The sequence below is a fragment of the Homo sapiens genome, chromosome 5 (genome assembly GCF_000001405.40).
Source record: "Homo sapiens chromosome 5, GRCh38.p14 Primary Assembly".
Taxonomy (NCBI): domain Eukaryota; kingdom Metazoa; phylum Chordata; class Mammalia; order Primates; family Hominidae; genus Homo; species Homo sapiens.
In genome coordinates, this window is record NC_000005.10 from 40,990,943 (window position 1) to 41,003,922 (window position 12,980).

General features: G+C 41.7%; 1 protein-coding gene across 3 annotated transcripts in view; it reads right to left on the reverse strand.

The window, feature by feature from the left end:
- Nucleotides 1-7,077: 7,077 nt before the first annotated feature.
- Nucleotides 7,078-12,980, reverse strand: part of MROH2B (maestro heat like repeat family member 2B) — a 73,323-nt gene continuing 67,420 nt past the window's right edge. For 2 of the 3 annotated variants that reach the window (XM_011513953.2, NM_173489.5), the window contains 5 exons: nt 9,736-9,891; nt 9,278-9,409; nt 8,735-8,837; nt 7,670-7,735; nt 7,078-7,216 (listed from right to left, as the gene is read on the reverse strand). In XM_011513953.2, coding sequence (XP_011512255.1) covers nt 7,110-7,216; nt 7,670-7,735; nt 8,735-8,837; nt 9,278-9,409; nt 9,736-9,891 — 564 coding nt within the window. In that variant the 3' untranslated portion in view covers nt 7,078-7,109. Of the gene's footprint in view, nt 7,217-7,424; nt 7,536-7,669; nt 7,736-8,734; nt 8,838-9,277; nt 9,410-9,735; nt 9,892-12,980 lie in introns of all 3 variants that reach the window. The other variant, XM_011513952.2, reaches the window with a different exon arrangement.

The window sequence follows — 12,980 nt, forward strand, 5'->3', positions numbered from 1 at the left end:
CTTTTTTCAGGTCATGACTTGGTGATTTTTTACACACACAGACACACACATGTACACACACACACAAACACACACACACATACATTCTTGTAATGAATTCCACTGTCCCTCCCTCATGTTCCTCGACTCTGTCACATTTTCTGCTTGTCATGGTTTAAGGGATACCAGCAATGCATAAGAAAGAGAAATCTGAAGAAATGATAATTCCCAGGCTGCAGCTACATAAAACTGTTATCAGAAAGTTTTTCTCTGCCAGGCTCCTGATGAGCTCACAGGTTACTAGCCCTTCTAATTGACTACGCATTCTCTATTTCTATACTCAGGAAATCTGAAGGATGATGGTGGGGTTGGAGACTAACTCAAGTAAGAGTAAAAACCATTAGAAAACTTTGCTCTAATTTTAGAGCCTGGTGAGTGCTTCAGAAGTGCCTCTTTCTGTACTTTATCCTTTGAAACAGTGGCAGTAACTGGGACAACTCCAGTTGAGCAATTTCTCTGGCTTCTTTCACTGGAAGCCTATTTGTTTCTTCCTGTCTGTGATCTTTGTTCTTCTTTTTTTCTGGTAAAACTGCCTCCATGGCAGGGTCAGCCAAACTAAACAGGCCTGATTTACCAGCAGAACACTGGCTTCCACTGTTGGGTTAAAGGGCAGAGTTCTGAGTAGCAAAATAATATGATTCAGAGTTCTTCAAAGCAGTGCTTAGCCACTAGGCAGTCCATGAACATTACAAAATCTCCATCCTAAAGTAAACAAAAATTGAAAAATGATTATATGTGCAACTAATAGTGAGAAAAACAACAGGAGTGAGACTAAAAGAAATCTGTAATTTCTTCAAGAATACTTGAACATGCTTTTCCTCTACAACTCTATTTCCCTGAGACTCTCAAGTAGACTGTATTAGTCCCTTCTCACACTGCTATGAAGAAATACCCAAGACTGGGTAATTTATAAAGGAAAGAGGTTTAATTGGCTCACAGCTCTGCATGGCTGGGAAGGATTCAGAAAACTTACAATCGTGGTGGAAGGGGAAGAAAACACATTCTTCTTCACATGGCAGCCGGAGAAAGAAGTGCTGAGAAAAGCGGGAAAAGCCCCTTATAAAACCATCACATCTCATAAGAACTCACTTACTATCATGAGAACAGCATGAGGGTCATTACCCCCATAAGAACTCACTCGCTATCATGAGAACAGCATGAGGGTCGTTGCCCCCATCATTCATTTAGCTCCCATCAGGTCCCTCCCATGATGTGAGGATTATGGGAACTACAATTCAAGATGAGATTTGGGTGAGGACACAGCCAAGCCGTATTATTCTACCCCTGGCCTGTCCCAAATCTCATGTCCTCACATAAAATACAATCATATCTTTCCAACAGTCCTATCAAGTCTTAACTCATTCCAGCATTAGCTCAAAAGTCCAAGTCCAAAGTCTCATCTGAGACAAGGCAAGTCCCTTCTGCCTATAAGCCTGTAAAATCAAAAGCAATTTAGCTACTTTGTAGATACAATGGAGGTACAGGCATTGGGTAAATACACCCATTCAAAATGAGAGAAATTGACCAAAACAAAGAGGCTACAGGCCCCATGCAAATCTGAAATCCAATAGGGCAGTCATTAAAACTTAAGGTTTCAAAATCATCTTCTTTGACTCCATGTCTCACATTCAGGGCATGCTGATGCAAGAGGTGGGCTCCCATGGCCTTAGGCTGCTCTGCCTCTGTGGCTTTGTGGGGTACAGCCCCCCTTCCTGGCTGCTTTTATGGGCTGACATTGAGTGTCTGCAGCTTTTCCAGGTGCATGGTGCAAGATGTTAGTGGATCTACCATTCTGGGGTTTGGAGGACAGTGGCCCTCTTTTCACAGCTCCACTAGGCAGTACCCCAGTGGGGACTCTGTATGGGGGCTCTGACCTCACATTTCCCTTCTGCACTGCCCTAGCAGAGATTCTTCATGAGAGCTTTGCCCCTGAAGCAAACTTCTGCCTGGACATCCAGGTATTTCCATACATCCTCTGAAATCGAGGCAGAGGTTCCCAAACCTTAATTCTTGACATCTGTTGACCTGCAAGCCCAACACCACATGTAAGCCACCAAGGCTTGGGGCTTGCACACTCTGAAGCAACGACCTGAGCTGTACATTGGCCCCTTTTAGCCATGGTTGGAGCTGAAGCAGCTGGGATGCAGGGAACCCTGTCTTGAGGCTGCACAGAGCAGGGTGGCCCTGGGCCCTGTCCATGAAACCATTTTTCCCTCCTACGCCTCCAGGTCTGTGATGGAAGGGGCTGCCATGAAGGTCTCTGATATGTCCTGGAGACATATTCCCCATTGTCTTGGTGATTAAAATTCAGCTCCTTTTTACTTATGCAAATTTCTGCAGCCAGCTTGAATTTCTTCCCAGAAAATAGGATTTCCTTTTCTATCGCATCATCAGGCTGCAAATTTTCCAAACTTTATGTTCTGCTTTTTATTGAATGCTTTGCCACTTAGAAATTTCTTCCTCCAGATACCGTAAATAATCTCTCTCAAGTTCAAAGTTTCACAGATCTCTAGGTCAGGGGCAAAATGCTGCCAGTATCTGCATAGCAAGAGTCACCTTTGCTCCAGTTCCCAACAAGTTCCTCATCTCCATCTGAGACCACCTCAGCCTGGACTTCATTACCCATATCACTGGTCAGCATTTTAGTCAAAGCCATTTAACAAGTCTCTAGGAAGTTCCAAACTTTCCCACATTTTCCTGTCTTCTTCTGAGCCCTCTAAACTGTTCTAACCTCTGCCTTTTACCCAGTTCCAAAGTCGCTTTCCCATTTTTAGGTATCTTTACAACAGCAACCCACTCTCTGCAGTACAAATTTACTGTATTAGTCCCTTCACATGCTGCTGTGAAGAAATACCCAAGGCCGGGTAATTTATAAAGGAAAAAGGTTTAATCGACTCACAGTTCTGCATGGCTGAAAAGGCCTCAGGAAACTTACAATTACCACGGGAGGGGAAGCAAAAACGTCCTTCTTCACAAGGCAGCAGGAGAGAGAAGCGCTGAGCAAAGGGAGAAAAGCTTCTTATAAAACCGTAAGATCTTGTGAGAACTCACTCACTGTCACAAGAACAGCATGAGGGTAACTGCGCCATCATTCAATTACTTTCCACTGGGTCCCTCCCATGACATGTGGGGATTATGGGAACTATAATTCAAGATGATATTTGTGTGAGGACACAGCCAAACCATATCAGGGACTTTCTCACTTGAGTAACCTGCCTGTGTTTGAACTATAGAAATGAACCACAGAGGGCCCTGGGGGACTGACTGGGAAGAGAAGTATCAAGGAGGACTAGTGACAACTCTCTGAGGGGGAATGGTAGGAATATTTGTTGGGGATGAAAAAGAGATCTAAATGTGTCTCCTGTTACAAAGCCTGACTGTGGTGTACTGTATGTTATGAGAGCAAGTAAGAAGACTTTGATGGGGTCTGGCAAGAGAAACAACTATGAAACAGGCAGAGCAGGAGCAGCAGATGCTGAGCTGAGGTCTCCTGAATTAGAGGGGCCACCTCATCTTCAGTCTCCTATGAAGGGCAGCAATATTCACAGGGCCAGGAATATGGCCACATGGGGCTGAGATCATCAGCTGGGTTTATATACCAACCATTGAGTTTATGCTAATATTTGTGATTATAATGATAAATTTGCTAATATCATAATATTTATATTGCATAGTTAACAATATAAATATTGATTAAACAATGATTCTGTGCCGGGCTTCTAAATGCTTTACTTGGGCTATAGTATGAATGTTTGTGTTTCTCCCTAATTCATTTGTTGAAACCTAGTGCCCAAGGTGATGGTATTAAGAGATGGAGCCTTTGGAAGTTGATTAGGTTCCACCCTCATGAATGGGATTAGTGCCCTTATAATAGAGGCCTGAGGAAGTTTGTCTGCCTCTTCCACCATGTGAGGACACAGCGAGAAGGAACACAGAAAGAAGGAACATATGAAGAATGAGCCCTCACCGACACCAAATCTACTGGCACCTTGATCTTGGACTTCTCAGTCCCAGAACTGTAAACATAAATTCTGTGGCTTGCAGATTACTAAGATATTTTGTCTCAGCATCCTGAATGGACTAACATATTTAGTCAGATAATAATAATCAAATTATTATCCTGATCTTACAGTTGTGGAAATTGAAGTACAGAGAGGTTAAGTGGTTTTTCGAAGTCAAATGGCTAGTAAGTGGTGGAACCAGGATTTGTGAGAAAGAGAGTCTTAGAACAAGGTGAATCTAAGATAAGGGTTTAGACAGTTAAAGGTTTCAGAGGCAATGTGTGTTTTGTGTGGCCATTCTACCTACTTTCGATCAATCAATCTATGAGAAAGGCCCTATGCTGCATGCCAGGAAGGGGGCTGTGGTGGAGATATACAAATACCCAACAAATTCCTATGTGAGTGAATTTACACTCCTGTCGAGGATGTCCTATAGTTCTGTAGTGGCTCAACCCAAATTCTATTAATACTTTTTGCCCTACATTCTGAAACTGTCCTGTGAAATACCATAATTACTAGCTATACATGACTATTTAAATTTCTGTTAATTAAAATTAATTAAATATTAGGTTTGATTTTTAAAAATTGATAAATAATAAAATAATTAAAATTAGATAAAATTAAAAATTGAATTCCTCAACTACCTACATTTCAAATGCTCAGTTGATACACATGGCTAGTGACTACCATGTTGGTCACTAAAGAAAGAAAAAATGATTTCCATCGTTGCAGAAGTTATATTGGATAGCACTATTTCACAACGTCATTTGACTTAAAATAATCTGCCAAAAGAGGTCAACTAAACCCATGTCTTTTGCCTTCTTTTTTTTTGCTCTGTTTCACATATGTTGTGCTTGGGAATAGCTTCTGACTCCACTAAGAAGTTAATGAAAGCCATTACCCAGAAAATGCACCTATGCGATTCTATACAGAAATTCGTATACAACTTTGCTAGGATCATGGACTCTCTGTGTAACAGTTACCTACTGGTGCCTAGCAAATTACCTCAAAACCCAGTGGCTTAAAACACTAAAGTTTTATTATCTCACACAGTTTCATGGTTCAGGAATTTGGGAATAGCTTGGTTAATGATTCTGGTTAAAGATTCTCATTAGATTTTGCTTGAATTGCTAGATTTTGCTAATAAAAATACAAGATGCTCAGCTAAATTTGAATTCATGATAAACAAGAAATAGTTTTTTAGTGTAATATATAACTAGGATATATTTTTACCAAAAAATTCAACATTTATCTGAAATTCAAATTTAGCTGGGCAGGTGTATTTTATCTCACACTCCTAGGTTTCAGTCAATGTGTGAGTGAGCTGGGGTTTCAGTCGTCTGTAGACTAATGGGCTCTTGGGTCCATTCCGGAGATGATTCACTTACACGCCTTGCAGCTCAGTGCTCATTGTTTGCAGGAGTTTTTTGCTACCTGGACCTCTCCACAGGGCTGCTTGAGTGTCCTTAGGACACATCAGCTAGCTTCTTCCAGAATGAATGAATCAAGAGAATGCACTATTACTTATGACCTTGTCTTCCAAGTCATAGTCCATCATTTCTGAAATATTGTATTGGTTGCACAGGTCAGTTTTATTCATTGTAGGAGGGGACTTCCCAGGGGCATGAATACCAGGAAGCAGGAATCACTGGGGCTATCTGGGAGGCTGGCTCCATTTCTTGGAATTTATACATAGATTTTATAGAATATGAGCACCCTGAAGGCACAATTTTTCTATTTTCCCTCCCTGTTGTAGTTCCAGTGGCTATAACAATGCCTTATAAAACTGTAGGCATTCAATAAATATTTGTTAAATGAATAAAGAAATGGACTCCTAGTCCATAATCTCTTACCCAAAAGATTCTACTGCTCCCTAGGTTTTGTAGAAACAAAGATGTTTCCCCAAACAGCTTGGAGATGAAGATATTAGAATATAAGTAATAAAAATTTGCACGGACATTCTAAAGTAATATATTAATAATGGTGCTAATAAATGATCATGATGGTGCTTTTAAATGAGTGCCAGTATCTGTGTTAGAAACTTCTTTTTAGGGCTGGGGGCAGTGGCTTATGCCTGTAATCTCAGCACTTTGGGAGGCCACGGCAGATGGATCACCTGAGGTCAGGAGTTCAAGACCAGCCTGACCAACATGGTGAAACCCTGTTTCTACTAAAATATACAAAAATTAGCTAGGTGTGTGGTGGTGGGCCCCTGTAATCCCAGCTACTCAGGTGGCTGGGGCAGGAGAATTGCTTGAATCTGGGAGGTGGAGGTTGCAGTAAGCCGAGATCGCACCATTGCATTCCAGTCTGGGTGACGGAGAGAGACTCTGTCTCAAAAAAAAAAAAAAAAAAGAAACTTGTTTTTAGGTATGTAATTTCATGTATGTAACCTTTCACTTATGCATTGTGAAAAACAAGAAAGAATAATAATCCAGATACTATGAAGAAATGAACGCACTCACACACACACACACACGTGCTTGTGTGCGTGCATATGCACTGTTGTTCTGGGATAAAAGTAGAAAGGAAATGATGATATTTAATAGAATGCCAGACAGGTTCTTTTGTAGAAAAGTACCTGGCATACTCTTGACACATAAATTACAACCTGGGAGAGAATAGGCAGGTTAAAGTTTATCATAAGACTGATTTTAAAAAGAGGAGTGTGGGTAGTAATTCAAAGCTGGCAAAGATCTGAGAGGAAAGGGCTACATGCGGAAAATAACAGTGGACCTCTTTTTAGTGGCAGCAGAATTATGTGGGTCAAATTCTGCCGCTTTTTGATATCTGCTGGGACTTACTTTCTCAAGACAGAGGGCTAACCTAGGCAAAGCCATGTGGCTGTCACGATCCAAATCACAGGTTATCCCTGAAGTGAACTTGTGGGATTTGCTTTTTGCTAATGGAAGCCACCAAGGAGATTCTAGAGAGGAAGAAATATACCACCACTTCTATATCCCCATCGTAGGCAGCATCTCTTTCCTCAAGATGCTCCAAGTTTGTGAGGTAATAGGATGAAGACAGGAGTCAGATATAGGAAAAGCCAGCAGTTTATTTCTTGATGGCTTACAGAGGAATGCTTGTCTCTTTACACCTTCTCAGGAGGGTTTGCAAAGCAGCCTCAGCTGCTCTCTGGACACTAATACACGGATCTTGACGAAGTGCTTGGAGTCCTGAAATGGCAAGAATAGCAAATAAGTGGAGGAGGAGAGTCAGAGCCCAGCAAGAAGGGCAAACCAAGCCAAGGCCCAACTTTTTAGCACTGAGGGTCAGACCCAAGTGGGGCTCAGGTCCTCATGCTCACATTTTATCCTAAAAGGTAGGATGTGGAACTACAAGAAATGATTTTAACATTGAAATAAGGGAAGAGAAGGCCCTGACCTTGTGATCAGTAGGTTTAGGCAATTGGAAAATCGTAGTCTATTGGTGTTTCTGATGCCTGCAAAGGGCTGGAGCTGGAGATTGCTTTGTACCCTGGAGAAATTCTAGTGTCTAGAGAGCATCAGAGACAATAATTGGTACTAAGATTTTCAAGTTCTGGGCTGACGTGGAACTTAGAACAGCAATATTTTCTCTTTTCCTAAGAATGTAACAATATGCTGGGAAGAAACTAGGTTGGTACTCACGTGTGGTCAGTTGTTCTCTGTCTAGTAACTCCACATATTGGCTGGTCAAATTGAGAACAACGGCATCTAAAGTTAATAGGAGACCATGTTACTGATTTCATTATAGAGGAAGAAGCCATGAAAAGTATAGCAGGTTAGACTCTGCACCTGGTGAGAAGGTAAATGGTAGGCTGGTGAATGAGCAAACTATATGACTTCCTTTGCACCCCCTAGAATGATGTCAGGGTGACTTCTATTGGGTCCCGAGTGCCATGTCTGCAAGTAGTCACTTATCCAGAGTATTTGGCAGAGTTCACACAATGATCTTCTAAGGAGGCTAGTTGTTGTTGGGATTTCAAATGTGTGTAAGATAGGGTCTCTGTCTTCAAAAATTTCATAATGTGTTGGTGGGGGGATCATATGTATGATTCAAGAAGGAATCTTCAGATTTTTAATTTGGCCTTAAAGGTGGTGAAGGGAGTGGGCCTGTTGTCTGTGGGCTGAATTAGTTGGAACAGGCTTCAAAGTAAGACTTAGAATTTCATGATAGAAGGATCTCTAGAGATTTACTTATGTTTTATTTTATACATCAGACAGAGAGGTAACATAAAGTTAAGTCAATTTCCAGAATCACATAGCAGAGCCAGGGGCTGCTGGCCCCCACATGAACATACTTCCCACTTGTATCATGTTGCCAAAGCTCTCAGCTTGAACTGAGCTTTGGATGTTGAGTATGGGTTATCTTATGGGATGAGGTGAAGAAGTGTTTATGTAAGGGCAGCAGCTGGGAGCAAAGATCTGGGGAAAAGAAGGAGCAAGGACTTGGAGCCAGAAGGAGCATGAAGGGCTCAGATGGGAGGAGAATGAGTGTAGGTGAGTCAGGAGAGGTTATGAGTTTTCACTGCAAAAGGAAGCAGGTTTCTTTGAGGGAGGATGTTACATGACGTAAGATAAAAGCCCTTTCTGGGCTTTAATAAAAAAGTTATACCAGTCCTACTAGTGTTCATACTGGACAGCTTCTGGTCAAAGCAAAACTAGGTGGAAAAAGCAGACATATCTGGGTAGGAAATGGGGATGTGTACTCACCTGTGAGTTTGACAGCTGCACTCCTGATCACCTCCCAGGTGCTGGTGAAGAAGGTGAAGGAGTGTGTGTGGAGGATCCACAGAATTTCCTGGTTTTTCTTGGCCTAGAAGAGATGTGAATTTCAAAGAGGGCAACTGGAAAGTGAACCTTTGTGACATTTGGCATCCTATAGGTCCTCAGAACGGATTTGTAAAGGCCAGTGAGCACTCACACAGCCATAAATTAATTGGCTGAAAATTGTCTTATGGGTATTTTGATCTACATTTAATCAGGAAGCCATCAGAGTTTAAGGGATTAATCAACAGATATGAATTTTAGGAACCAAGGAGAATATATCCCAGTCAGGACTTGGGAATGGAGCAGAGGGTCCTGTGGCAGGATACCTCTATGTCACTATATCCTGTGAAATCAGGATATCACTGCCATCCTTCCAAGGCAGTTCTGGCTCTGGCCAGAAATTCCTTGCTACATTGTTTGCCCTTCTGCGATTTGTCTAGACCCTTGTCCTGCCTTTTTTGGAGGCGGCATCTATTGGACACTCACCAGTTTCACACAGAATTGCCTGTAGAAATCCCTGGCCCTTGGTAGATCCTGATCAAGGAGACGGTCTAATACCCCATAGAGCTCCTGGAGGCCCAAAAAGGGAATGCAGACCATCAAGACATCACGGCAAGCCTGGAAAACAGAGTTTTCTGCATCACAGTCCAGAACGTTAGGATCTCCTTCCAGAAGGGAAAAAATGCTGAATAGTACTGGGAAAGAAGCACTAAAAGTCAGTGGTGTGAATGGCTTTATAGTCATTGCTGGCACCTTCCCAGTTTCAAGGAAGAGTAAGCTTGGGAAGAGATAGTAAGAAGAACCTAGAATTGGAGAAGAGGTTTTCAGGTTCAGCGCTAAGGGGTGACTTTAGATCTGGCTCCTGGTGCAGCTAGACCAGGCTTATTGGTACTTCTCAGCCATGGGGAGAGCAGGAGGTGCAGGTGTCTGTGGAGAGCACTTACAACTCCAATCTTGGGGTTGGGATCCCAAAGGTGCAGAAGGAATGAAATCAGGCTCTTTTTTATTTCTTCAGCAAAAAAAATCTTCCACCTTCTTCCTGTTAGGGGTGCCAGGTCCTCAAATAAGAAGATGGCAGTCAATCTCACATCATCCTGCTCCTGTGGTGACGAATGCATGTCGTGGTGAATATCCTCTCAGAGGCCATTCCCTGCTAGCACACTCTTGGCTCTCATCCCACCCTTCCCGCTTCAGCAAAAGAAGGCTGGAACCCAGGCACTTGTCCATCATAGTCACGGCCTCTAAATGTTCCAAGAACTTGCTTTCTTTCCCTGAAGCTTTCTCTCCATACTACATGAGTTTAAAAAACCCTGGGTCTGGGGTTTATGTGATGCCAGAGAATTGATTTCTGTCTTTGAGTAGCCAGTGGGGAAGTGTGACCAGGACCACAGGAATGATACACAGGGGTACTCATAGAGAAAGCCAGGGAGGGTTTCTGCTTGTTATGTATTTTACTTGGTTGCGTTACTAGCCTAGAATTATGGGACCTCTAATCTTAATTGTCCAAGGCTTGGTACTATTCTCCATGACACCAAATATTTTCTAAAGGGATTACAGGCAGCTTGGGAATTTGGGCCTTGGTTCTCAGAGAGGTTAAACACAGAGGTGCCTAGCTCTACTCTTGAGTATGTGAAATTATGGAACTTCCTTGTTTTTGGTCCAGGATGGCAGGCGATGATTTTAGGAAGCCAAGAGAGGCCGGGTGCAGTGGCTCATGCCTGTAATCCCAGCACTTTGGGAGCAGAGGCAGGCAGATCACCTGAGGTCAAGAGTTTGAGACCAGCCTGGCCAAAATGGTGAAACCCTGTCTCTACTAAAAATATAAAAATTAGCCAGGCCTGGTGGCACGTGCCTGTAGTCACAGCTACAGCTACTTGGGAGGGTGAGGCGTGAGAATTGCTTGAATCTGAGAGGAGGAGGCTGCAGTGAGCCAAGATCGTGCCACTGCATTCCAGCCCGGGTGACAGAGCAGGACTCTGTCTCAAAAAAAGAAAGAAAAAAAAAAGAAAACAAGAGAAAGGTGGTGGTGGAGGAAGATGGCCTCCTATTACCTCATTGGAGTTACGTTTCAGAGTTCCGACAGGGAAGAAACGAAGTGAGATGAATTTCATGGAGGTTTTTTTATTTTTAGACCCAGAAAACTAGTTTAAAATACCCATATGAACAAAAAGGGATTAAAGAAAAAGCAGTCCTGAATAGCAGAATATTATTTAGATAAACAATAAAGTTAATATAGATCTTCTAAAAAATGATGGCTTGTTGGGAAGAGGCCAGAAAAGCTCAGATGTGACTTTGTATAATGAAAATGAAAGTAGAAACACATTTTTTAGATTTATTAGGAATAAGGTCAGGATACATTTTTTAAAAGATACCTCTTTAGAAAGAGGAAGCTAACCAAAAACAAGGTACCAAAAAGGTAGAGAGACATTTAGTTAAAAAAGCTTGAATTTTGCAAAATCAATGAGCTAATGATAGGTCCAGGAACAATCAACCAATCGAGATGATGAAAAATCAGAAAGAAAAAGTGGCAAAAGGATTTTGGGTGCTGGGAGAAATATTAGAGAACGTCTAGTCCAATGTCCTCATGTTCACTTGAGAACATGGAGTCACAGAGGGTAAAGCGATTGCTCAGGGTGACAGTGTGGGGAATAGTAGCAAGAAGGGAATGGAGCATGGGGCAGCAGCCACATTTTCTGTTCTACCATTTCATTCAAGTGTCACCATGTTTTGAAAAGTCTAAGAAAGTATTTAAATATTGAAAGAAACAAAGGAAGAAAACTTGGAGATTATAGAAAGCTATGCTTAATCTACATAAAAATATTGGGGCAATAGATCATAGAGTTAAATATACTTATGTAAAAATGGCATTACTGGAGAACAAATAAGAGTCAAAGTTTTGTCCAACTTTACTTTTATGCAAACGTGATGGAGTTGACACCTATTAGAGATGAGCAAGGTCTGAGCTAACAATCAGCAAGGCTTTAGCACATTTTATCCTTCTCTGATGACACTGGGCAACATTATCTTGACCACTAAATTGTTAAGTGGACTTGTGATTTACTGGAGGCTCAGATCTAAGAGAATTATTATTGGATCAACAACAATCCAGGAAACTTAACAGCTGGGGTTCTGAAGGGGTGACTTCAGCCCTGAACAACGAAGAAAAAGAATATCTTTGTTATTTTTACCCCAGTAAGCATTTTTGAGGACAAGATAATTAAAAATTGCTTTTTTTTTTTTTTTTGAGATGGAGTTTCACTCTTGTTGCCCAGGCTGGAGTGCAGTGGCATGATCTCGGCTCACTGCAACCTCTGCCTCCCGTGTTCAAGCGATTATCCTGTCTCAGTCTCCCTAGTAGCTGGGACTACAGGCGCGCACCGCCACACCCAGCTAATTTTTGTACTTTTACTACAGATGGGGTTTCACCATGTTGGCCAGGCTGGTCTCAAACTTCTGACCTCAGGTGATCCACCTGCCTCAGCCTCCCAAAGTGCTGGGATTACAGGCGTGAGCCACCATGCCTGGCCTAAAAGTGATATTGGTTAATTGGAGGAAATAGTTGGAAACAAGCAGAAAGATGTTTTCAAAGGCCAGGTCTAGGCTAGCACATAGACAAGAAAAACTGCAAAAATACGAAACTGAAGAATGCTGTGGGCATATATTACAGACTAAAATCTAGAGGTTCATATAGTTAGCATGCCAAAATCAGGAAGGGCAAAATTAAAAAAAATAATGGAGCAAAGAAATGGGAAAAGGTTGGATTTGAGAGGTAATATATCCTTAGATTCTATTCAATACTTCTTGAGCCTCATTTAGAGTTCCAACTCAGTCACAGGCTTGCAAAATATTTAATGAGCAGAAAAATTAGGTTTATGATGAATAATGAAAGAAATGAAGACTTCTCAAGTCTGCAGACTGTAAGGTAAATAGGTAATCAAATAAAGCCTTAATGTTTATGAAGAATGCACTAGAGAAGGCAACTAGCAGTTTTCCATCTCCTCTGACAATACTACATGAGGAAGCAGGTTTAGATTACAAAATAATAGGTTTAGGTTAAAAATAGATTTTTACATTGATGGCAATGAATAACCAAAAAATAAATACTAAAATGTGCTTCCTGGAAGGCATAGAGGAAAATGACCCTTCTCTGCCTAGGACTGCTGACTGATCTTTTTTGAAATTGCGATTA